At 45.8% G+C, this 27074-nt stretch overlaps 1 protein-coding gene across 6 annotated transcripts in view, besides 1 other annotated feature; it reads right to left on the bottom strand.

Moving 5' to 3' along the window:
- Positions 1-27074, bottom strand: part of LCMT1 (leucine carboxyl methyltransferase 1) — a 66487-nt gene that overhangs the window by 37692 nt on the left and 1721 nt on the right. For 3 of the 6 annotated variants that reach the window (XM_011545864.2, XM_011545862.3, XM_047434197.1), the window contains exons 2-5: positions 14411-14573; positions 11971-12062; positions 8014-8135; positions 290-366 (exon numbers count right to left, since the gene is read on the bottom strand). In XM_011545864.2, coding sequence (XP_011544166.1) covers positions 290-366; positions 8014-8135; positions 11971-12062; positions 14411-14573 — 454 coding nt within the window. The remainder of the gene's footprint in view (positions 1-289; positions 367-8013; positions 8136-11970; positions 12063-14410; positions 14574-27074) is intronic. The other 3 variants (NM_016309.3, NM_001032391.2, XM_005255354.5) reach the window with 1 other exon arrangement.
- Positions 14146-14388: a silencer, noted in NCBI's record as "fragment chr16:25137470-25137712 (GRCh37/hg19 assembly coordinates)". NCBI's record gives its function as "represses an EF-1alpha promoter that drives an FKBP-Casp9 reporter gene in an ReSE screen in HepG2 liver carcinoma cells {active_cell/tissue: HepG2}" and the evidence as "EXISTENCE:reporter gene assay evidence [ECO:0000049][PMID:32094911]".

The following is a 27074-nucleotide window of genomic DNA, read 5'->3' as shown; positions in this document are numbered from 1 at the left end:
CAAGCCCCAAAAACAAAAACCTTGTCTGGGAGATTTGGTTGGCCTCGTGTTAATTGTAATTACATGGGGAGCCATAGAGCCTGTGATCTGTAATAAGGAAATGTATATTGCATTTTGCAGACTGTAGAACATGCTGGAATGAGTGCCAGGGCAAAAAAAAAGTTGGTGGGGGGCAGTGAACGGAAGGCAACACCCTAAAGTGAAGTCTCTGGCATTCAGATCTGCCATCTCTTGAGAGCTGGATCTGAATTCTCGCTGGCTTTTGTTCTTCTGGCCATGCCACACTTACTTGATACTGTGCAGCTTTCTCGTGACAATCATTGGAAAGTCAACCTCAAAATATTTACTTGGGAGAAGATCTTCATCCTGGGGAAAAACACACAATACTTTTTATTTCTTTACTCTTACATGTGCTGATCATCTTCCACATATCAAGCACTAGGCACCTAAGAGCAATAGTGTTTAAGGATTTTTAAATCAGGGGACTGATATGGGCAGACGTGTTTTTCGAATTACTCAAGAATAGATTTGAGGGAAGCAAGCACAGATGAAGGTAAAAAGTCAGGAAGCCAGAGGAGTCAGCCAGGTAAGAAGGTAAGGTCCAGGAAGGAGCCTGAGCTAGCAGGTGGCAGCTGGGATGATGGGGAGGAGCTGAGAGGTGCTTTGGAAGTAGAATATACTCCGTATTTTCAAAAGGCAGCTTGAGGCCAGGTGCAGTGGCTCACGACTGTAATCTCAACACTTTAGAAGGCTGAGGCAGGAGGATCGTTTGAGGCCAGGAGTTTGAGGCCATCCTGGGCAACACAGCGAGACCCTGTCCATGCAAAAAAATTAAAAAGTTTAAACGATTTAACAACAACAAAAAAGGCAGCTTGAGCTCCATTAGGAGGGTCAGGAAATCAATGTAGTAGGTTTTGACGAGCATTATTTTTTGGGTGAAATAGGTTAAAACAGCCAGTATCAAAAGCATCACATATATTAAGGGTATTATTTTCTGATATATTTTTCATTTTTTTTTTCTTTTTTTGAGACGGAGTCTCACTCTGTCACCCAGGCTGGAGTGCAATGACATGATCTCAGCTCACTGCAACCTCTGCCTCCCGGGTTCAAGCGATTCTCCTGCCTCAGCCTCCAGAGTAGCGAGGATTACAGGTGCCCAGCCTCTGATACATTTTTCTCTGTGATAGTGAAGTATGATAGATTAAAGAACAGGCACTCTTGGAGCTGGAGTGGCTCAAACCCCAGCTCCACCACTTACATGCTGTAAGGTCTTGGGAAAGTCAGTAAACTCACTGGGCCAGGATTTACTTGTTTGAAAAGTGAAGAAGCCGGGCACCCGTGGCTCACGCCTGTAATCCCAGCACTTTGGGAGGCTGAGGCAGGCGGATCACAAGGTCAAGAGACCGAGACCATCCTGGCCAACATGGTGAATGAAACCTCATCTCTACAAAAAATACAAAAAGTAGCTACTCAGGAGGCTGAGGCAGGAGAATTGCTTGAACCCGGGAAACGGAGGTTGCAGTGAGCTGAGATCGCGCTGCTGCACTCCAGCCTGGCGACAAAGCGAGACTCCGTCTCAAAGATAAAATAAAAAAAAAAAGAAAAGAGAAAAGTGAAGAAAATGCTAACACTTTATGGGGTTGTGAAGATTAATGAGGCAATACATGTGGGGCTCACAGGAAATGGCCTGACCTTAGTAAAATTATCACACGGGGATCCAAAGAGCTTGTGAGCTGTAACAATAAGGGAAGGTATACTGCGTTTTGAATACTGCACAACGTGCTGGAAAGAAGGTGCCAGGGCAAGAAGGAAACTAGGGCGGGGATCAAAGGAAAGCAGCACCCTAAAATGAGGTCTCTAGCATTTGAATCAACACGTGTGTGCCTTTATTGTTACAGACACAGGTATAGAGATGGGGGCCCTGGCTCAGGATGTAACATTTATTTCTTCTTGTGGCCTGCAGTCAAACAAATATGAAAGACACACATACACACACACACAACCACACACACACACGCACATGCGCACACACAGCCCTGGGTCACCTGGCTTGCTTGGTAGCTACACCCTCCCTACCCAGTCACGCACACATCATCCTATCATCCTAGTGTTCTCTCGGTGCCCTCCTCGCTATCCAGCCACCCAGTACTTCAGCCCTGCTGATGCCTCTGGAATCCCTTCACTCCTCCTGAGCTCTGTCACCTCCAGCCCAGACTGTCCCAGCACCCCCTCTGGTGTCTCAAAGCTGCACGCTGCTGTGTACTGCACTATCTACTGCAGGTGGCCTTCTGCAGCTCTGCACACTGCTAAAACTCAGCAAGAAACAAGGCACTCTATAGCCTGGCCCACCTGCCCAGCCTCTCCCCCTCTCCACTTATCCCAGAAATACAGAACTACTTTTTTAAAACAAAGAAGACTGCTGACATCCAGAACCTGGTGATGGCTTCGCTGGTAGAGGATGGGATGGAGGAAAAGGAAAGTTAGGGTGACACCTTGTTTCTGACTGGAGCAACTGGGCAGGTAAGAGAACCATTCATGGAGACAGTAACAAGAGATGGAGCACAGGTATAGAGGGACAGATGAATCCCGGGGGGGTGAGTGCGGCATAGCAGACCTCCTGTGGACAGCATGATGGGGGCAGAAATCACCAGTAACCATATCCTAGTAGGTGAATGACCCTTAAGAGCAAACATCAGGGCTGAAAGATACAGCACCCTCCCACATAAAGACCAGTCCTCTGCTGGAATCCCAGGGGACCCAGGCTGGGATTTATCTTTTTAAAACAAAAAAGGACGCCAAGTACAGTGGCTCACACCTGTAATCCCAGCACTTTGGGAGGCCCAGGCAGGAGGAGTGCGTGAGCCCAGAAGTTCGAGACCAGCCTGGGCAACACAGCAAGACCCTATCTCTACCAAAAATACAAATTAGCCAGGCATGGTGGCTTGCACCTGTAGTCCCCAGCTACTTGGAAGGCTGAGTTAGGAAGATGGCTTGAGCCTGGGAGGAGGAGGCTACAGTGAGCTGAGATCATATCACTGCACTCCAGCCTGGGAGACCGAGCCAGATCCTGTCACAAAAGAAAAAAAAAGAAAAAGCCATCCAAGGAGACTTGGGCTCATGAATCTGAGCTGATCACACTTAGAGGTATAGCCCATGCCTGCTGGGTAGGGTTATGCAGAAGCTATTTCAAGATACTTGAGGGGGGCCAGGTGCAGTGGCTCACGCCTGTAATCCCAGCACTTTGGGAGCCTGAGGCAGGTGGATCACCTGAGGTCAGGAGTTCGAGACCAGCCTGGCCAACACTGAAACCCTGTCTCTACTAAAAATACAAACTATTAGCTGGGCATGGTGGTAGGTGCCTGTAATCCCAGCTACTCGGGAGGCTGAGGCAGGAGAATTGGTATGGGTAGGGGGATATGGAAATAACTTTCACTAGGAATTTCAATTTCTACAACACCTTTTAAGAACTTTTACTGACAGCATATGGGAAGTTAAGGATCACCTAAAATTCCAGAAGACAATGAGAACAATTAAAGGTATATAAATGAAAGACAGCATAGTGCCCTGCAGCTCTTATGGGACTTCTTCCTTTTTAAAGAGCTTTCCCATGCATTAGAACCTTGTAAAACTTCTGAATAAGAAGTCAGAGCAGAGAAAGCTTACAAAAGGCACACCCGGAGCGCTTAAGAAAGACATCCTGTGGGGCGCGGTGGCTCACATCTGTAATCCCTGCACTTTAGGAGGCTGAGGGTGGTGGATCACTTGAGGCCAGGAGTTCAAGACCAGCCCGGCCAACATGGTAAAACCCCATCTCTACAAAATAGCCAGGCACGGTGGTGCGCATCTGTAATCCCAGCTACTCGGAAGGCTGAGGCAGGAGAATCGCTTGAACCTTGGAGGCAGAGGTTACAGTGAGCTGAGATCACACCACTGCACTGCAGCCTGGGCAACAGAGTGAGACTCTGACGGGTTGATGGGTGCAGTAAACCACCATGGCATGTGTGTACCTATGTAACAAACCTGCACATTCTGCACATGTACCCCAGAACTTAAAAAAAAAAAAAAGATATCCTGTTTCTTGAGAAAGGGGCAAAATGGCTGTGACAAGTGATGCTTCAACTTCTTCTTCTGTGATTCTTGATGGCCCTTTTGATATTTCACTCCAAATAGCCTGCATGCAACTGACTGGTATGGAAGACACCGAGACTGGGAACAGCTGCCACAGGGCAGGAGGAATGGGGCACCCAAAGGGGACTCGACATGGCTGACCACCTCACAGACTGCCAAAATTGACCCTGCTTCCCTCCACAGGGAGATGGAGAAAAGTAGGCTGTAGGGATCCATTGGTTCCATGGAAACAGAATTCTGGAGACACCAAGAAATGGAGGCCCCTTAAAGGGTTTCACTCACCCATTATTCCTTTCCTTTTTTTTTTTTTTTTTTTTTGAGACAGCATCTCGCTTGGACACCCAGGCTAGAGTGCAGTGGCACGATCTTGGCTCACTACAGTCTCGACCTCCGGGGCTCAGGTGATCCTCCCACCTCCACCTCCCAAGTAGCTGGGACCACAGGTGTGCACCACCATGCCTGGCTGATTTTTTTATTTTTTGTAGAGATGGGGTTTTGTCATGATGCCCAGGCTGGTCTCAAACTCCTGAGCTCAAGCAATTCAACCACCTCGGCATCCCAAAGTGCTGGGATTACAGGCGTGACCAACTGCACCTGGCCCCTTTATTCCTTTTTTGTGACAAGACTAACTCTTCTTTGTCCTGTTCCTGCTCACTGCCAGCAGATGGGAGTCTTTAACTGTACAGTCTTGGGCTCCTGAGATTTTATGGAATAAGCTCACACCCATGACTCACAGCTAAACCTCTGCTGGTGCAACCTAGGAACCATTCCGGCTGGAAGGTGCATGAGACACTAAGACCCACAGACAATGTTTTCGCTACACTTTTAGAGACACACACATACCTCTAAAACAGAGATTGGCAAACTGCTTCTGTAAAGAGCCAGAAAGTAAATATTTTAGCCTTTGCAGGCCAGATGGTCTCTGTTGTAACTACTCAACTCTGCTGTTATAATTGTCATATGGCTGCTGAAGCACAATATGCAAACAAATGGGAGTGGCTGCCTTCCAATAAAACTTTATTTACAAAAACAGGCTGTGGGCCAGATTTGGCCCTGGGCTACAGTTTGTAACACCTGCTCTAAAAAAGCAAACAAATGTTATATATATATATATAGATATATATTTTAAAAGAAACTTCAGACCAAAAAAAGGCCTTCAGCCCAATATAATTACCAATCAAAACCAAAACATTTCCACAAAGAACTTTCAGACACTATACAGTCTTCCTTCCTCACTACTGACTGACTGCCTTTTTCTTAGGAGGGGTACGTAAGCCTCAGGTTACTTTGCTCATAAATAAGAGGCTCAGATTTATTAATTATTAATCCATCTACAAGACGGGAGAAAAAAAACAAATTGCGTGACAAGTCAACGGGGTCTCAGGTCCAATGGCAGGATCTCTCCAGCGGCCTGTTAACACTGACATAGCACATTCTCTCACACTGTACTGTGCTCTGGTTCCTCACACCACACCATGGGACAACTCATTACAAAAACACAACAGGTCAGCCGAGCATAGTGGCTCATACCCATAATCTCAGCACTTTGGGAGGCTAAGGCAGGTGGACCACTTGAGGCCAGGAGTTCAAGACCAGCCTGGCCAACACAGTAAAATGCTAGCTCTACTAAAAATACAAAAATTAGCTGTGCATGGTGGTGAACGCCTGTAATCCCAACTACTGGGGAGGCTGAGACAGGAGAATTGCTTCAACCCGGGAGGTGGAGGTTGCTGTGAGCCAAGATCACACCATGGCATTCCAGCCTGGGTGAGAGAGTGAGTAAGACTCTGTCTCAAAAATAACAATGACGGAAAAACAAAGATACAACAGATCTACAGAAAAGGGAAGGTCACCCTCCTGAAAAACCACAGAGGCTGTGTGCAGGGGAAAGAGGAAGAAATCCGGAGTTTAATGGGCAGATAACAATGCTTGATCCCTGCCCCAGAGCCTCTGGCTGCAGGATCCTGGAAGACAATCTTGCAGTCTCATTTCCCTCATCTGTGTAAAACACCCTTACAGAGTTCTCGTGTTAATTCATGAGGTCATATATGTAAAAACACTTCATGATGTTAGTGATTATATCTTGAGAAGAGAATGCAGAGGCAAAGAAATACCCACACTCTGTTGAAGTCACTGATTTCTCACTTCAATAAGAGAAGGGTTGAGAGCTCTGATGACCAAAGACCTTCATATCAGGTGAACTGATTAGGGGACAAAACAGATAAGTGGGTCTTGGTCAACATCCGCAAAAAATCTGGAGAAATGCACGTTCCCATTACTGTCACATGACGGACCTGACAGAAGAACCAAGCAAAATCTGTACAAACCTACAAAAAAAAAATGCAATTAGTGAGGACTTTTTTTTTTTTTTTTTTTAAGAGACGAAGTCTCACTCGTCGCCCAGGCTGGAGTGCGGTGGCATGATCTCGACTCACTGCAACCACAATCTCCTGGGTTCAAGCAATTCTCCTGCCTCAGCCTCCCATGTAGCTAGGATTACGGGTGCCCACCACCACACCCAGCTAATTTCTGTTTTTAACAGAGACAGGGTTTCACCATGTTGGCCAGGCTGGTCTCTAACTCCTGACCTCAAGTGATCTGCCCACCTCAGCCTCCCAAAGTGCTGGGATTACAAGTGTGAGCCACCATGCCCGGCCAATTAGTGAGGACTTTGTAGGGAAACGGTTTGGCTATTAAAATCTAAGCCCAGGAGGCCAGGCACGGTGGCTCACGCCTGTAATCCCAGCACTTTGGGAGGCCGAGGTAGGCAGATCACAAGGTCAGAAGATTGTGAGCAGCCTGGCCAACACGGTGAAACCCCGTCTCTACTAAAAATACAAAAATTAGCCAGACATGGTGGTGTGCACCTGTAGTCCAAGCTATTCAGGAGGCTAAGGCAGGAGAATCGCTTGAACCCGGGAGGTGGAGGCTGCAGTGAGCCAAGATTGTGGCATTGTACTCCAGCCTGGGCAACAGAGGAGCAAGACTGTCTCAAAAAAAAAAAAAAAAAAAAAAAAAAAAAACCTAAGCCCAGGAGCCAAAGACCACACTCCAGTTTTCTTTCCCTCTGAGAATGTAATTAGACCTGCATTCATACTCTAACAGAGCAGTTAAGAGACCAAATCAGAAAAAGATTACAAAATGGCTTTGCAACATATTATCATCACCCAGCCATATGAATCTCCAAATTTTACCCAAGAAGCCATTATCCTGACAAAATCTTAGTTACTGTCAAAATTACAAATATAGGCTGGGCGCAGTGGCTAATGCCTATAATCCCAGCACTTTGAGAGGCTGAGGCAGGAGGATCGCTTGAGGCCAGGAGTTCAGGACCAGCCTGGGCAACATAGTGAGACCGCTGTCTCTACACAAAAACTTAAAAAATTAGCCAGATGTGGTGGCGCATGCCTGTGGTCCCAGCTACTTGGGAGACTGATGTGGGAGAATTGCTTAAGCCCAGCAGTTCGAGGCTGTAATGAGCCATGATTGTGCCATTGCGTTCCAGCCTGGGTGACAGGGCAAGACTCTGGCTCAAAAAAAAAAAAAAAAAGTTACAAATGCATGCATGAGCTCTCCATTCCAGCAATTCTACTGGTAGAATTTCTCCTCCTGACATATTTCTACTCATACTGAGGGAAATATAAGGATTTTTATTATAGCTCCATTTGTAACAACAATTAGAGACAACCTAAAATATCTGTCACCAGGGCCCTGGTGAGATAAAACAGGACTGAGAGTCGTAGGGGCATCTAGGCAGATGGGACAGGGGTGGGAGACAGGCTTTCGCTGCATAACTTTTAATATATGTTTACATTTCGAATTAGGTGAAAATCTAACGAAAAAAATCTAAACACTTGGGGAGGGAGGAGGGGAATTTGAACATACCTTTAATCTCCAGAAGGTGGTATCCATGCCTGCCCCAAGGTTGACAATTTGACAATGACATTCTGTCTTCCGTAGAAATGCCTTTATAAGCTGACTGACACCATGGACTCGAGCAAAATATCCTAGGGGGGAGGGGAGGCACAGAAACAAGCTATCACCCAGTGATGACAGAAATTATCCCTGTGAAGCCCACCCCAGGAGAAGAGCAAAACAGAGAGCATGCGCCCTTCTGCAGTGTCAGAGGTTAATCTGCAGACTCTATGGGAGAAACAGCAACTTTCAAATTTTTTTTTTTTGGTTAAAGGCATCTGAACCAAGGTAAGTATAATCTATTTCATGAAGCAATTAACTACCTTTGAAAAAATGAGCTATAGTTTTATGTATGAAAAATAAGTGTTTTACATTGAAACGTCTAAAGTCCATCTTGGAAATGTGCCTTTCATGGCTATAATGAAAGCCACTCTGGACTCGGGTAAACCTGAAAATTGTGAGATCATATGAAAAATAATAGTATGGGTCAGGAAACTGAGCAGATGAATGTTAACACAAAGGAAGCTATATTTGTTATCCTGTTCCCTTCACCTCCACCCTGAATGGGTTAGTCTCTATGTAAAATGGGGGTCGCAGAGAAGACCAGCAAATTGCTGCCTAATAAAATGGCTTGCTACTAAAAACACAAAAATTAGCCAGGCATGGTGGTGCACAACTGTAATCCCAGCTTCTTGGGAGGATAGACCACAAGAATTGCTTGAACCCAGGAGGCAGAGGTTGCAGTGGCCCAAGATTGCGCCACTGTTAAGTTTTCGGGTGGAGGGTTGGGGAAAAGGAGATGGAAATAAAGAAGAAAAGATCACAAGGTCTGTCTGTGCTCTAAAACTATGCTGCTCAAAGTATGTGCATGGCTGTTAACAGTATGTGACTATTTTAAGAAAAAAATCTGATAGCATTTAGAAACTTTATTACAATTTGACAGAGAAATTTCAAGTCTGTTCAATCTACTAATAAATGATTTGGAATTGTACATTGTATGTCATTTTCATTTTATTTTTCTAGATCATTTCTATTGTATTTTACAGAGATATCATCCGCGATGGATTGGACACTGGGGGAAAAATGTCCTCACCATACACCATTTGGGAGGCACTCTCCAATCTGGCTGCATTCTAAAGGTTCAAATACAGGGTAGAAGAGAGGGGTGCCGCCAGGGCGTGGGGTGGGGGTCTTTGCCTGTGCAGCATTTGTTAGGAAATCTGCCTCAAAAGCAGGGGAGGGAATGCAAAATAAAATTGCATGTCCTTGTTTTCAGAAACCACCACTTTAAAATTTCTTGGCATTTCTTATAGAACCCACCTACAGGATCCAACTTGAGAGCCAAGATTCCCTGCACACACAAGAATTATAGTCATTTGGTCAATTTCTCAATCTGGCTGAGAATAAGGCAGGCTCCTGTCTCAAAGCCTTTGACTTCCTTGATGGAAATTATCTGCAGAGCCTAATAGTGTCATTAACACTAAAATAAGGCATCAAAAAGTAATTCTCCATCTCTTCCCTCTCAGGCTTTACACTGCTAAGCCAGAATGGAGCTGAATGACTACCTTTCCTGCATACTCTGCTGTCTGGGAAAGAGAAACTGGGGACTTAACACATTCAGGCTGCTGCCAATCAAATGTTGCACATGGCACATGCACATCCAGATACAGACTTCTCTTTACGCTCTGGAGTTTCTAAGGGGCAGGCATCTGAAACCATATTCTAGCTATGTTCTGGAACAAGTTACCTGTTGGTGCGAGCTTCAAAATAAATAAATACTTAAATGGCCAACACTACTCATACTGTGAGCCGGGGAGGAAAATAAATCTACTGAAGATTCTTTTTTTTGAGACAGGGTCTCGCTCTGTCACCCAGGATAGAATGCAGTGGTACAATCCTGGCTCACTGCAGCTTTGATTGCCTGAGCCGATCTTCCCACCTCTGCCTCCCAAGTAGCTGGGACTACAGGCACATGCCACCACACCTGGCTAATTTTTTATTTTTTGTAGAGACAGGGTTTCACCATGTTGCCCAGGCTGGTCTTGAACTCCTGAGCTCAAGTGATCAACCTGCCTCGGCCTCCCAAAGTGTTAGGATTACAGACGTGAGCCACCGCACCCAACCCTGTTGAAGAATTTTTTTTTTTTTTTTTTTGAGATGGAGTATTGCTCTGTCGCCCAGACTGGAGTGCAGTGGCGTGATCTCGGCTCACTGCAAGCTCTGCCTCCCGGGTTCACGCCATTCTCCTGCCTCAGCCTCCGAAGTAGGTGGGACTACAGGCACCCGCCACCACACCCGGCTAATTTTCTGTATTTTTAGTAGAGACGGGGTTTCACCGTGTTAGCCAGGATGGTCTCGATCTCCTGACCTCGTGGTCCGCCCGCCTCGGCCTCCCAAAGTGCTGGAATTACAGGTGTGAGCCATCACGTCCAGCCCTGTTGAAGAATCTTAAGGGCCAAATCTCCTAAGCCTAGGCCTACTGCTGTCAGCACCTCTGAGCCCTCCCTCATCTGAGAATTACCAGGTCTCACAACACTTTCCCTCCCACCCACAGTGAGGAACATCAACAAAGCTGTAAAAGACCCACGTCCTCTAGACTTAAAACCCTCAAGCTGCGCAACTGGGCAGAAATCCTCAATTTCCATCCTTAGGGAAGATTCACATACACAGACAAGAGGCGTGAAAACTAAGATATGCTCAGCCTGAAATATACAAAAGCCTTTGGAATGTCTCCTTATAGAAAAACCCAATTAAATCCACATAATTAGTCCAGACACCTAGATGAGCCATAGGCAACCAACCAACCAGAGGAAAAGTCTGATGTAAATTCTAAGAGACTCTCCTCCTCATACCTGTACTATAAAGCAGTTTCTCCATATTTATCCAATTAGTGTAGGAATACACATGTGAAAAATAAAGCTTTATGTATTTTTCTCATTGGGGAAAAAAAAGTGATTCCTGATAGGGACAGTTTACAGTGAAAGATATTTAAATGGGCTTCAAACACATGAAAATGATCCTCAACGTCACTTATAAATAGGAGAAACATTTTTAAAATTGCAGTAAGATACCATTTTTCACATGACAGATTAAAGAAGATTAATACTTTTTTTTGAATTCATTAAATTTAATAAAATTTCAAAAACTATTGTGATTTTAATGTGGAAGTAGATATTGTGTTCTTTTTTTTTTCTTTTTTACTCTAAGTTCCAGGATACATGTGCAGAATGTGCAGGTTTGTTACATAGGTATATATATGCCATATATATATGCTTATTTCCCCAGATCTTCACCAACACAGTGTGTTATAAAACTTGTTTGCAGCCATAAAAAGGAATGAGATCATGTCCTTTGCAGGGACATGGATGAAGCTGGAAGCCATTCTTAGCAAACTAACAGAGGAACAGAAAACCAAACACCGCATGTTCTCACTCATAAATGGGAGTTGAACAGTGAGAACACATGACACAGAGAGGGGAACATCACACACTGGGGCCTGTCACTCATCAACCTGTCATTTAGATTTTTAAGCCCTGCATGCACTAGGTATTTATCCTAATGCTCTCCCTCCCCTTGCCCCCCACCCCTGACAGGCCCCAGTGTGTGATGTTCCCCTCTCTGTGTCATGTGTTCTCACTGTTCAACTCCCATTTATGAGTGAGAACATGCGGTGTTTGGTTTTCTGTTCCTCTGTTAGTTTGCTAAGAATGGCTTCCAGCTTCATCCATGTCCCTGCAAAGGACATGATCTCATTCCTTTTTATGGCTGCAAACAAGTTTATAACACACCGTGTTGGTGAAGATCTGGGGAAATAAGCACTTTTGCGCACAGCTGGAAAGGGAGCACACCACGACTTCCTTCAAGAATGAACCCCTAAAACCTCAGGTAGCTGATGAGGTGCTGTTGGGGAGGGAGATGGTCACTTGCCTCTGTTGATTTCAGGGGCTTTCCTCTCTTTAGACAGTCTCACAAAGTGCTGTATGTAAGGGTCATGCCAGTAGCCAATGCTTACTGCAAACCTGGAAGGGAGAAAAAAGGAGGAAGGTGAGTAGAGATTGAGTAGGTTCAGACCAAGGTCCACTGCCAAGTTCCCAGGAACCAGATCAAGGAACTCGACGAAAACCAACCATCCACCTCAAAAGGCCAAGTGCACATTTAGTGCCCTGTTACACAAGCGAAGACGCAGCCATCCATTCATCTTTATGTTCACGTTACACCACCCATCACATTTTCCACAGTGGGCCTTCTCACTCCCTTCCCTCATATTGCTAATTCACTTCCCAGGACCCTACATAGCAAATAGCCTCACTTCATGCTTCATACAGAAGATGTGCAGCCATTTATTCACTCTGCAAACTCATGGCCAGAGCTAGTCAGTTAATTCCACTAAATGAAAAAGCCTGTGCCCAGAGGAAGGGAGACTTAGAAACACTTGACAAACAGCATGAATTAACCAAGTGTTTCTCCTGACTCTGTATTAGGTGCCAATCATTTCACTCTTCTTAGGGAGGTCATAGTGGGGAAACTAGGAAGAAATGAACAAAGCAAGCACGAACAAAACAATGTGGAAAATGCCACAGTAGCCTTAATTCTCTCTAGCCAGTCTATACTACAAGGAATTAAGGCTTCATCTAGCACAGGAAGCCTTCTTGCAACCATGAGTAGAACCAGCTTTAGGATGACTGAGGACTCATGAAAAGAAGCGGGATCCCGAAGGCCATGCTCAGCTGCTGTGGGCCTGCAGACTGCTCTACCTCTGAACATCGATTTTGTGAGATAAGTGCCTTCACCCTTTTAGCCAATTTGAGTCAGGCTTCTGTTACTTGCAGCCCAAAGCATCCTAATGATACCCTGAGTAATGCCCCCATTTCTTGTTGCCTGCTAAGTAAGGTGAAATTAAGGGTATGGGTGTGTCATGTCTCTCAGCTTCTAGAAGTAAATAATACAGCTTTAAATCTGCTACTAAGGCTTACCTCTGGCCTGACTACAATAAGTGTTGAATTCTGCACAATCTCCCAACCTCTTCCATCCATAGACACCCAAAAGGAAGCACATGTTCAGCTGCTCCATGCAGCAACTCACCACAGAAACATGGAAAATACTCACTAATGGACACGATCTGTTATACAAGCCCAGACTGTCCAAGGAAAACAGCATACCCACACAGTTTTATAACAATATACTTAAAAAAATGGTTTTCAGTTAGTCATGACCCATTAATACAATAAAATCAATTCATTTGCAAACCTGCATTACTTTTTTAAATGTTGAACCAAGTAAAATAAAAAATAGGATGCATTACATATAGTAAGGATTAAGACATTTATGATGCTTACTCTTGGCTTCAAGTGATTCTCCAACCTCCGCTTCCCAAGGTGCTGAGATTACAGGCGTGAGTCACCGTGCCCAGCCTACTTTTGTTTCAAGTGTGTGTTGAGGGTGTAAGTGCAATGAAAAATGTATTTCCTCTGTGTGGTTGGCAGTTTGGGAAACACTGATTTCAAAGAAATCATATAGTGTCATCTAGTGGTAAAAGCTACATCTGCAGTTGAAACAAGAATGGTAGCCCAGCAACCCACAGATGAGAATACTCATCCCACAGTTTTAAGGATCAGAAGGGACCTTAGAAATGATCTCATCAACCCTAACATCCCGTGCAAGAACCAAGGCAGCAACATCAAGTCACTGCTTGACTACTAGTTCCCCAAGGAAGGCACTCGCCCCGCTGCTAAGCAGCTCTGTTGAAAACCTGATCAATTTGCCTCCCTCTGGAAGCCATAACTTGCTGGACTCTTGGATAATAAAGAGCAGGTTCTATCCTCTCACCTCCAGATTCTTTACACTGTTCAATACGACTAGTGTAGCCAAGGAACATGTGGGTGTCTGCCAAGTGCTAGGCACTGGGGGTACAGTGGTAAACAAGGAGAGAAAGGAGAGGCAGATAATTACAAGATGATGAGGAATGAAGGCAGTGACTCGTAGAGAGGAAGACGGTCACGGGGGAGGCCTCTCTCAGAAGGGGATGGCCGTGGCGAGCCCTGGAGAATGGGAGAGTCAGGTGTCCAAAAGGCATTCCAGACAGAAGGAAGGGCAGGCAGAAAGACTCGGGGAACACACCTGAGCCTCCAGTACAGAGAGGAGGCAGGGAGGCCGGAGGACAGTAAGAAACTGGGGAGGAGGCCAGAGGGAGAAGCAGGCTCAGGACGCAGGGTCTGGAGGGCATCTGGGACTGACCTCAGGAGCACCCTGTCCGTGGTCACAGTGGTGCACAGTGGTAGAGAGTGGTGAGATGCACGGGTCCATAATGCAAACACACCCAGCCAGCAACTCCCACCGGCTCCCACCTCCTAGTGCCCCTAACACTTTCCTCCTCCCACTCCGCAAACCCAGGTGACTGCAACAGGTTTCCATGCGCCCTAGGAAGAAGGACCTCACTGTCCAGCCTATCAGAGTGGCCAAGATGAAAAGATTTGCCACCCAGTGTTGGGCAGTGAGGAGGAGAGTGCTGTCGGGCGCTGCTGATGGCAGTTCTGAAGGGAGACAAGCAGCAAGTTTTAGGATTTATAGGACATCAGTTGGAAAGTAAGTGAACCAACTGCTGAACAAATTGGCAACAAAACTATTATTATTATTATTATTATTATTATTATTATTACTATTAGAGATGGAGTTTTGCTCTTGTTGTCCAGGCTGGAGTGCAATGGCGTGATCTCGGCTCACTGCAACCCCCGCCTTCCAGTTTCAAGCAATTCTCCTGCCTCAGCCTCCCGAGTAGCTGGGATTACAGGCACCCGCCACCACGCCTGGCTAATTTTTGTATTTTTAGTAGAGACGGGGTTTCACCACCTTGGGCAGCTGGTCTCAAACTCCTGATGTCGTGATCCGCCCGCCTCAGCCTCCCAAAGTGCTGGGATTACAGGTGTGAGCCACCGCGCCCGACCCAACAAAACTATTATTTAATCTAGCTTGGCTTTGGAGAGGGATAGGGAAGAGGGCACTCAAGCTGCCGGAACCTTAAACTGGCACAATCACACTGCAAGGCACTGCGATGACAAGTATAAAAGGCCTGAAACACATGCGTACACAATGACCACACAATCCCATTTCTAGGATTTAATCCTAAGAAAATCAAGTATGGGCACAAAGATTTCTCTGCAGGAACACTGAACACAGAGTTATAGTATCAGGTGAACAAACCTAATCACAAAATTGTATGTGTAGGATGTTCCCAATTTTGTTAGAGAATACATACACATGCAAGGCTGCCCACAGCAGACACCAAAGTGTTAATACACTGTTATCTCTGCACCCTGCATGACACTGTGCATCTAGTTCTGCCTGTCAATTTCCATTACACATCTCTGCTCCCAAAACCCAGAGAACATCACTTCTATTTGTATATCCTGATTTCATATTCAAAGCCTAGATTCAAAAAATCAAACATCTCAGATTTGGAAAGACCTCAAAGATTTTCCCAGTCTTCTTTCAATCCATAAATGCTTTCAGTTTCCATGACATTCACATGCCACCTGTTCAATTTAGTGTGTCTTTAAATCACTCACTTTTTAAAAATACTTAGGTTTGAGGTGCTGCCTAACATTTTCTAACACAACACTGTAATAAATAGCTAACTACAAAAATGATAAGCATCTGTGTAACACCTAAAATCATCTCACTTTCCTCCCACGGGAAAGACAGATCTGGTCCAACCACCTAATGCTTCATTCAAGAAGCATTTACTGACTGAGACCTGTCTCCACGAGCGTCAACTGGAACAATGGGGCCTTCTTCTGAAAGGTGTGAAATCCCCTCCAACAGGCATTTCCTCATCTGAGGCATCAAAGAATGAAAAGGGGCCTCCCTGCTCACCTGGCCTATAAGGATCAAGCCTGGTGCCTCATTGACTTCTTTAATCAAGTCACCAAGTGCTTACTATGTGCCAGGCATTATTCCAAATGCTTGACCAAATATGAATACATACAAATAGGAACCCCCATAAGATCCTACAAGGCAGGCTTGACTTTACAGACTGAAGTCAGTTACATCAGCTGTGGAACTTAATTCTATAAACATAGAGAACTGAAGGTTTAATGTAGGTGTTCAAATTTACTCACCTGGATTTAAATCTGCCCCCCATACACACTTGTTTTTTCCCTCATAACACCTGAGTTGCTTAAATGATGTGTGTGTGTTTGTCTGTATACATGTACACGTAAGTCATGTGTTGCTTAAAGATGAGGATACATTCTGAAAAACATGTTGTTTAAAAATTTAAACTTTTTCAGTGTTTTACTGTTTTATAATAACAGGTCTACTGTGTAGAGTTTCCTGAAAAGATACTGCTTTCCTGATGAAAGGAAATGGACTCTTGAGAGACAGATGTCCTTTCCTAGGATTCTTTCTTTTTCTTCTTCCCTCCTGGAGCAAAGCTACTCAAATGGACTAAGAATACTCAGTAATTCCCTGGTAAAAACCTATCCTTACCCCTGCGAAACAAGTTGTGGGAACTCTGACTCAATTTACAACTAAAAACCTTTGGAAGTCAACATTTTGAGCTATCAACTTGAAAGAAAGGAAGCAAATTAGGCCGGGTGTAGTGGCTCACGCTTGTGATCCCAGCATTTTGGGAGGCCGAGGCGGGCGGATCACCTGAGGTCAGGAGTTCGAGACCAGCCTGGCCAACATGGTGAAACTCCGTCTCTACTAAAAATACAAAAAATTAGCCGCATATGGTGGCTCATGCCTGTAATCCCAGCTACAAGAAAGGCTGAGGCAGGAGAATCGCTTGAACCCAGGAGGCAGAGGTTGTGGTGAGCCAAGATTGCGCCACTGCACTCCAGCCTGGGTGACAGAGCAAGACTCCGTCTCAAAAAAAAAAAAAAAAAAAAAAAAAGAAAGCAATTTAACGGGAAGTCAAGCATGAAACACACATTGCAATGTTAAAGTGTAAATAAGAATTTGGCATATAAGGCTGAGTGCGGTGGCTCACGCCTGTAATCCCAACGCTTTGGGAGGCTGAGGCAGGTGAATCACCCGAGGTCAGGATTTTGAGACCAGCCTGGCCAACATGGCGAAACTCCATCTCTACTAAAAATACAGAAATTAGCTGGGCATGGTGGTGCATGTCTGTAAACCCAGCTTCTCAAGAGGCTAAGGCAGGATAATAGCTTGAACCCGAGAGGTGGAGGTTGCAGTGAGCCAAGATTGCACCACTGCACTCTAGCCTGGGCAACAGAGCAAGACTCTGTCACAAAAAAAAAAAAAAAAAAAGAAGTTATATATAATACAAGTGTTGTCTCAAATCAATGGGGAAATACAGACCATTAAATAGTTGGTATGGGGACAAATGGCTAATGATGTGGAATAAAATTAGCACTGCAAACACTAAAAAAGACAGATGAACAGGCCAACCATAAAACCAAAGCCAGAAAAATGCTAAAAGATACGTTAAATAATTGGAAATAGCCTAAGCATTGCCCAAAACTCCCAACCTATAAAGGTAAAGATTGTCAGATTCTGCATCACAAAGATTTAAAACTTCTGAAGCTGGGCACAGTGGCAAGTGCCTATATCCCAGCTACACAGGAGACTGAGGCAGGAGGATCACTTGAGCCCAGGAGTTTGAGACCAGCCTGGGCAACATGGCAAGATCCTGTCTCAAAAAAAGAAAAAAAGATTTACAATTTCTGAATTATGAAATGTACTGTACAAGTTGAACCAAGAGACAAGCATCAGCTTGACAGAAAATACTGCAAGCAAAGCAGAGGCACAGGATAACTACGCCTGAAATAAAAAGTTCTTACAAATCAGCAAGAAAAACACAACCAAACAAGACATGACAAACAGTCCAACAGGAAATAACAAGGGCTGGAAGCAGTGGCTCGCACCTGTAATCCCAACACTTTGGGAGGTCAAGGAGGGCAGATCACCTGAGCCCAGGAGTTCAAGACCAGCCTGGGCAACAAAGTAAGACCCCATCTCTATAAAAAATAAAAAAATAAAAATAAATTAAAAAAACACAGCCGGGCATGGTAGTGCACGCCTGTGATTCCAGCTACTCGGGAGGGTGAGGTGGGAGGATCGCTTGAGCCACCAGGGAGGTCAAGGCTGCAGTGACCCAAGATTGTGCCACTGCTCTCCAGCCTGGGCGACAGAGTGAGACTGTCTCAAACAATAATCATCATCATCATCATCAGGAGAGAGGATTCACATAAGAAATATCAGTGACAATGAGCAGATTTTAAGTGCTCAGCCTCATGAGTGATTATAGGATAGAAATTAAAGAGACAGCCTATTTTCTACCCAGCAGCTGGTAAACAAGGAAAGAGACAGACTACTGAATAATTAGCATTGCATTCACCATGGGTAGGTACAACTGATATAACCTCTTTCAAGAAGCATTTTGCAGAAACTTCTCCCTGGGAATCTATTTCACAAGAAAATTCACACACATGTGCAAAAATGCTGATCACAACACTATTTTCAGAGCAAAAACCAGAGCCACCTAAATGATGAACAACAGAAGAGTGGCCAAAGTACGAAACTGCAGAACACTGTGCAGCCATTAAAAACAATGAGGCAGATCTCTGTGAAATGACATGGACAATATGCTCCTACTATGCCACTGATATGGTTTGGCTGTGTCCTCACCCAAAATCTCACCTTGAATTGTAATCCCCATAATCCCTACATGTCAAAAGCAGGACCAAGTGGAGGTAACTGGATCATGGGGGCTGTTTCCCCCATGCTGTTCTCATGTCATGAGATCTGATGGTTTTACAAGCGACTGGCATTTCCCCTCCTAGCACTCACTCCACCCTGCCACCCTCTGAAGAAGGTACTTGCTTCTCCTTTGCCTTCCGCCATGACTAAGTTTCCTGAGGCCTCTCCAGCAATGGGAACTGAGTCAATTAAACCTTTTTCCTTTATAAATTACCCAGTCTCAGGTATTTCTTCATAGCAGTATGAGAACAAACTAATACAGCCATTAAGGGGAGAAAAAAGAACTCACTCTTCTGTGATTAAAAAATTAACCTTTTAAGAGAAAAAAATAATTTGAAATTGATATCTTTTTCTTTTTCTTTTGAGATGGAGTCTCACTCTGTCACCAGGCTGGAGTGCAGTGGCATGATCTCGGCTCACTGCAACCTCCAACTCCCAGGTTCAAGCAATTCTCCTGACTCAGCCTCCCAAGCAGCTGGGATTACAGGCTCCCACCACCACCCCCAACTAATTTTCGTATTTTTAGTAGAGACGGGGTTTCACCATGTTGGCCAGGATGGTCTCAATCCACCTGCCTCGGCCTCCCAAAGTGCTGGGATTACAGGCGTGAGCCACCACGCCTGGCCAAAATTGACATTCTTGATGTAAAAATCATCAACTTTGGCAAACACATCCCAAAATTTAATCTGCTCCTTAAAAAAATGAAAACAAGGCCAGGTGTGTTGGCTCATGCCTATAATCCTAGCACTTTGGGAGGCCAAGGTGGGAGGATTGCTTGAGGCCCAGGAGTTTGAGACCAGTCTAGGCAACACGGCAAAACCCCGTCTCTACAAAAAAAAAAAAAAAAAATACAAAATCAGCCAGGCCTGGTGATGCACTCCTACAGTCCCAGCTACTCGGGACACTGAGGTGGGAGGATCACCTGAGCCCGGGGAGGTAAACGCTGCAGTAAGCTGTGAATATACCACTGCCCTCCACCCTGGGCCACAGAGTAAGACCTCATCTCAAAAAAAAAAAAACAAAAAAAAAAAACAAAAAAACAAGGCCAGGTGCGGTGTCTCACGCCTGTAATCCAAGCACTTTGGGAGGCCAAGGCAAGCAGATCACATGAGGTCAGGAGTTCGAGAACAGACTGGCTACATGGTGAAACCCCGTCTCTACTAAAATACAAAAATTAGCCGCGTGTGGTGGCACATGCCTGTAATTGTAATTCCAGCTACTTGGGAGGCTGAGGCATGAGAATCGCTTGAACCTGGGAGGTAGATGCTGCAGTGAGCCGAGATCACACCACTGTACTCCAGCCTGGGTGACAGAGCGAGACTCTGTCTCAAAAAAAAAAAGAAAAAGAAAAAAAAAGAAATCAAAAACCATAGAATTTAAATTAGCTGGGCGTGGTGGCGCATGCCTGTAATCCCAGCTACTCGGGAGGCTGAAGAAGGAGAATCACTTGAACCCGGGAGGCGGAGGTTGCAGTGACCCGAGATCGCACCACTGCACTCCAGCCTGGGCAACAAGAGCGAACCTCCATCTCAAAAAAACAAAACAAAAAAACCCATAAAATTTCACTTTATTGATGGACAAGGTTTTTTGGGGTTTTTTTAAATATTTTTTTCAGACAGAGTCTCGCTCTGTCGCCCAGGCTGGAGTGCAGTGGTGTGATCTTGGCTCACTGCAACCTCCACCTCCTGGGTTCAAGTGATTCTCCTGCCTCAGCCTCCCAAGTAGCTAGGATTACAGGCGCCCGCAGTCACACCCAGCTAGTTTTTTGTATTTTTAGTAGAGACGGGATTTCACCGTGTTAGCCAGGATGGTCTCCATCTCCTGACTTCATGATCTGCTTGCCTCAGCCTCCCAAAGTGCTGGGATTACAGGCATGAGCCACCGTGCCTGGCCTGATAGACAAGTTTTACAGCTAATTTATGTTTAACAGAATGTTCTAGCTCTGAAGTGGCATGTCTTCTCTGGGGATGGAAAGCAGCACCTGCCTTGAAAATATTTCAGATCACAATCTCGACCTTACTCTCTGGGGCATAGCTAAGAAGATGTCATCAGGATGCCGGAAAGGCCCTGGGCTAAGCCGTGAGGAAAAACTTGGCTTTGTGGAGAGACCTTGTGACCTGCTAAAGGGGAGAACATTTTTCCATGCAGCTGAAAATGAGATTAAGTTCTATAATTTTCACAATGAAATTTCAGCCTTATAAGCCCCGGTCTGCTTTCTAGAACACATAGACCACTAAAAGTCAGTAAAATAGAAAACCAGAACGTTAAGACCTCATCAGGAAATACAATCTTGAACATGTGCGCTCAGTTCCCGTCACTGTGGCCAAGCTGACAAATACAGCTCATGTGGCGCAAAGGTAGGAATGGTCTGTGCTCAGTATCGCGTCTATTCCAGTGGCAGAGATGAACACTAGGCACTTTCTAAATTACAACTGGGCCGATGACCACCAAGAAGATGAACAGGGTGTTACGAGAACATTTAACAGAAGCTAGATCTTGTCTGTGAGTGTCAGAGAGGCCTCTTGGAGTGAGCCACATTTGAGCTAAGCCAAAAACCTTGGAGTCATCTTGGGCCCCTCAGTCTTGCCCCACATCCACTCTGCCAGAACATTCTATCAACTCCACCTTCAAAATGCACCCAGAATCTGATACATTCTCAGCACCTCCATCACCACTATCCTGATCCAAGCACCAGCCTGTCTCACAGGGGACACCCCCACAGCCGACTAACTGATCCTGCCTCCGTCCTTAACTCTGCAGTCTGCTCCTAACAGAGGCTGAAGCAATGCTATTAAAACCAAGTGAGACCACCTCACTCTTCAGTTCCAAATGCTCCAACAGCTCCCACCCCACTGAGAGGAAAAGTCGGGTCCTTACAAGAGCCTCCCTCGAGTGACCTGCAGCATCTGCCCCCGCCTCCTGCACCCATGCTCTCCGAGATCTATCCTGCACTCATCCCCATCCCTCACCCTAGTCTTGGTGCTCCTGGAACAGGTCAGGCCGGCTCCTGCCTCAGGACCTTTCTACTCTCCTGCTTCTCTCTGCTGGACATTGCTTCCCCAGACACCCAGAGGGCTCACTCCTGCCCCCTGCAAGCCTTTCCTCTGCACTGACCTCAGTGAGGCCTTCCCTAGCCACCCCATCTCAGATGACAACTCCTTCCAACACACCCACTGCATCTCCCACCGTCTCACACGACACATATTGTGCTGATTTGTTTCCTGGCTATTCCCTACCCACCCCCACTCCAGGAACCAATGCTCCATAAGAGCTGCATCCTGTGTTTGGCTCACTTCTGCATTGGCAGGGTCTAGGACAGCACCTCCATAACCGAAGCAGGCGCTCAACAAAGAATGTGGAGTGAATGCACTCACCTAGGAGATAATGTGGAACTAAGCAGGCAAGGGAGGGTGGAGGAAGCGTTCCAGGCAGAGGGAATGGCATGCTCCAGGGCCCCGAGGATGGAAGAAATGGGGCATATTAGATGAACTGAAAGGATGGCGGTGACGGGGGAGGGAAGTGTGGTATGAAGTGAGGCTGGGGAAGTACACAGAGCAGGCTGGGCCCTATAGCCCACGTAAGAAATGCTGGTCTTTTTCTAATGGCAACAGGAGGCCATTAAGCTAGGGAGTGACAAGATCAAATGGGCCTTTTACAAACCTCTGGCTTCAGTGTGAGATACAGATTTCGGGGAGGTAACAGAGATCGGGAGAGCCCATTTGGGAGACTAGTACCATAGTTCAGATCACAGACGGCAGAAACAGAGGTTAAGGAAAGTTGATTCCTTTCCTTACTTAGCCAAATAATTCCCTCATCCCCTAAATACTTAGCAGATAAAAGTTAACAGGTCTGGGTGACTGCACAAGAGGGAAAATAAAGGGGCAGTTCCAAGATGATGTCAAATTTTTTTTTTTTTTTTTGAGACGGAGTCTCTCTCTGTCGCCCAGGCCGGAATGCAGTAGCACGATCCCAGTACTCTGCAACCTCTACTTCCCCAGTTCAAGCGATTCTCCCATCTCAGCCTCCCAATAGCTGAGATTACAGGCGCACACCACCACGCCCAGCTAATTTTTGTATTTTTAGTAGAGATGGGGTTTCACCATGTTGGCCAGGTTGGTCTCAAACTTCTGACCTCAGGTGATCCACCCATCTCGGCTCCGAAAGTGCTGGGATTACAGGTGTGAGCCACCGCACCAGGCCTTAACTTGTGAACTGAATAAACCATGGCACCATTCACTGAGTTTCAGGTTGGGAATGGCAGGGAGAACACGAGGAGCTGATATGAAGCAGTTTTGGAAATAGTGAACTGGAGGTAATACTGGGACATCCAAGTGGAGATGTCCAGCCGGCGGCCTATCAGGCTAGAGTGAGCAGATCATGAAAAGGTACAGTATATATGTCACACAACAAAGTGCAGATGTTTACCTTGCAGCTGATGGGGAATCAAAAGGTTTTTAGGTGAGTGACAGAATAAGATTTGCGATCCTGACAATCACCCTGGCCAGCAGGTAAGAGTGCACTGCAACAGATCAGGTGAGTCAGGAGAGCCAAGCAAGGGCTATGGTTGTGGAAAAGAGAGGAAGATGTCCCTTGTGTCACCAACCCTTCTCCCACACAGCTGCTAGGAATTTTTCTAAAACACAAACCAAGATCATATCAGTTCTGCACTCAAAATCCCTTAGGATAAAACCCATACTCCTTGGGACCTTCCACGATTCACTGCCTGAGCAGCTTTCTAAATTCTAACCTGCTACCCACTCCCTACTCTCTGTCAAGTTCACCTAATACACCACTCTACTCCAGTCTCCATGCCTCTGCTCCTGCTACTGTCTTCTGCCTGGCAAACCCCAGTTTCTGGTTTATCTCTTTTTTTTGTTTTCTGAGACAGGATCTCATTTTGTCACTCAGGCTGCAGTGCAGTGGCACAATCTCAGCTCACTGCAGCCTCGACCTCCTGGGCTCAAGTGATCTCCCACACCAGCCCCAAAGTAGATGGGACTACTGGCATGCACCGCGACACTGGTTAATTTTTTGTATTTTTTTTTTTTTTTTTTGTGGAGAGGAGGTTTCTCCATGTTGCCCAGGCTGGTCTTGAACTCCTGAGCTCAAGTGATCCGCTTGGCTTCTCCAAGTGCTAGGATTACCAGTTTATCTCTTTAACACCTCCTCCACTGTGGAAAAGAGAAGAGTGGCACTGACCTCCAGGACCTGGTCTGGTGCTGTGGGCCAGGCCCTAATGTTGTTGGAAGCTGGCTGGCACCCATAGGAAGGCCATGTTGTTCTCCTGTTGGACATAAACAATCGCGCAGACCACCCACACAAGGGCACTCTGCACCACTGATGACAGGAGATGAAACGAGACCACCTCATCATTTTGTCTAAGCAGAGAAAAAAGCAAGGTCACTGTGCCACCCACGGAATACCAGACATCTCTTTCTCCCAGCTGATAGAAGTGACTGTGGCTTCTTTACATGTTACAGCTTTAGCCTTACTCCAGCCAAATCTCCTTCTAGAAAAGACAGAGCTACTGGATAGAATTTTCCCACCTGCTTTCAGTACTCAACACAGAGAAAATCCCTTGACCCTCCCCCAAATCACCCAGCCAAAGCCCATATCCTAAAGGTCTAACACTCTCTTACTGATGTGCCCCACAGCTCCTCATAGTGTGAGTCTTCCCTCCTTGCAACAAGTAATAAACCCAGCTTGTTTAACTACAGGTGTGTTTCTGGTGGTCTTTATTGGAGGAATTCACAACTGTAAAAGTGAAAAAGGATGATTACATTTCTTGGGGGAAGGCTGGGCGTGGTGGCTCATGCCTGTAATCCCAGCACTTTGAGGGGCTGAGGCAGGTGGATCACCTGAGGTCAGGCATTCGAGACCAGCCTGACCAACATGGTGAAACCCCTTCTCTACTAAAAATACAAAAATTAGCCGGGTGTGGTGGCAGGCACCTGTAGTCCCAGCTACTCGGGAGGCTGAAGTGGGAGAATTGCTTGAACCCGGGAGGGAGAGGTTGCAGTGAACCAACATCGCGCCACTGCACTCCAGCCTGGGCAACAACAGCCAAACTCCCTCTCAAAACAAAACAAACAAAGTTTCTGGGGGAGGTTAAGGGAGTTTCATTCTAAGGGTTCCCATTTTCCATGTTGAGCAATAGCTGATATTATCTTGAGAATGAAAAAGGAGTGGGGTAAATCAGAAGTCTGAAGAAAGGGGAAAATGTCTGAATTAAGTATCCGGAGAAAGGGAGAGTGAGTTGATCTGAGAAACAAACTAGGATAGTCAGGTTCTGTTAAGGGCACAGTTGAGGTTGGCTGACATGATCGTAGCGGCACCAAGCCACCCTACTGTGTGATTTCTAGCACCTGTATTCAAGGCAAAAATGGATAGTTTGGTTAAACCAGCATTTTGGGTCTACTAAGACCAAAGGGCAAGGAAGATAAATGCACTGTCAACAGAATTACCGAGGGATGAAGGATGAACTCTAAGTAATCAATTAAGAGGTAACAGCAGAGGGAACATCTAAAAGACAGAGAGAACCACTGAGGTGCTAAGAAGAAATGGGCACAGCATGGGAAATAGAAAATAACTGGTCAAGCAACTTGGAAAAAAGGGGTCAGAGCTGGAGAGTGTTGCACTCTCATCTGTGAGGCAGTGCAGCATCAGGATAAAAGCACAGGGTGTCACGGTGGGAATGGGTGACAGAATCAGATAGGAAGAGGTGATCACTGCAGACCAGGTGTTCAAGAAAGTGAGTGCCTCGTGCATAGGCTCCATGTGGATGCTGAGGTCACCTAAGGTGAAGTCATGAACTGAGGTAGAGGACACTCTGGGCCAGGCACCCCAGTCTTCCATGAATGAGGTGAATGATCAGGAGAGCTGAACAACAGCAATCAGGAGGGCTCCAGTTGGGCAGGAAGGCTCTCCATGGAATGAGACGCGGGAGACACACAGGAGGACACAAAGCTCAAATCCCTGATCCTGAGATACACAGGGCATGAGAAGGAGGAGGAGCCACGGGAGAGGGCTTCAAGAACAGGATATCCCTGAGGAAAGGTCAGGGTGAAGGCAAAGGGAGGGAGGGAATGGCTAAGGAGAGGCTAACAAAATAGAAGCTGATGTTGATTATCAGGTGGTAACTGCAGAGGACATAGTGAGGGGTTGGTGGGATGGTTGGGTCACAGGTAAACAAAAGAGGGGAGAACAGACTCAGTGGCATAGCATGATGGACATCATAAGGAGAGCAGAGAAGGGAAGGAGAGTGGGCTACCATGAAAAGTGCTCAATTGATACCTATTGAGTCAAATGGAGTTAGTGTAAACCTAATATATCCAACCAGAAAACTTCTGATACCACAAGTCCAGGATCACAATGATGATAATGATTTGATGACAATGAGGGGGGTGGTGATGACTGTTAACTACCAATTCTGAACACCTCCAGTATGCCAAGCACTGCTGCAAGCACTCCACATTTCACCTGCACAGCAATCCTCTGAGACAGATAACATCCTACTTATCCGCAGAAGGACTCTATACCAAAGGAAGAAGCAAACTAAACAGAAGTAAAAGATTTACAGGTACCCAGAAGGCTGACTGGCTTTTTATTTTATAGCCATAACTCACTCAGGGCAGCAGGAACCACCCTAACTCATAGCTACTGCACATTCAGCAACTTTAACTAAACAATATTCAGCCTGGAGGGAAGTCAAAACTAGCAATAATAATTTACTGAGGGCTTCACTTTGTGTCAGATCCTCTGCATCGATAATCTCATTTAATCCTGACACCCATAAAGGTTACCTTTATTATCACTGTTTTAAAAATGAAAAGACTAGGCTGGGTGGGGTGGCTCATGCCTGTAATCCCAGCACTTTGGGAGACCAAGGCGAGCGGATCACTTGAGTTCAGGAGTTCGAAACTAGCCTGGCCAACGTGGTGAAGCCCTGTCTCCACTAAAAATGCAAAAATTAGCTGGGCATGGTGGTGTGTGCCTGTGATCCCAGCTACTTGGAAGGTTGAGGCAGGAGAATCACTTGAACCCGGCAGGTGGAAGTTACCAGGAGCCAAGACAGCTGTGGCCAATAGCAACTGAAAGCCACAGAAGAAAAAGCTGAGTATAATCCACTCAAATTCACAAATTTCATAAGGGACTCTCTCTAAGACTTTAATACTTGTGTATTTATTAATTTAATCAATCACCACTTACATGGACTACATGCCAGACACTGCTCCAAGTGCTCTACTAATATTAAATATCATTTTTGTCCACACCCACCTATGATGCGTTATTATACTCCCCATTTTACA

Source organism: Homo sapiens, chromosome 16 (genome assembly GCF_000001405.40).
Source record: "Homo sapiens chromosome 16, GRCh38.p14 Primary Assembly".
NCBI classification, from domain to species: Eukaryota; Metazoa; Chordata; class Mammalia; order Primates; family Hominidae; genus Homo; species Homo sapiens.
Note: the sequence above shows the minus strand (reverse complement) of the source record. Positions and strands in the feature narration are given on the sequence as shown.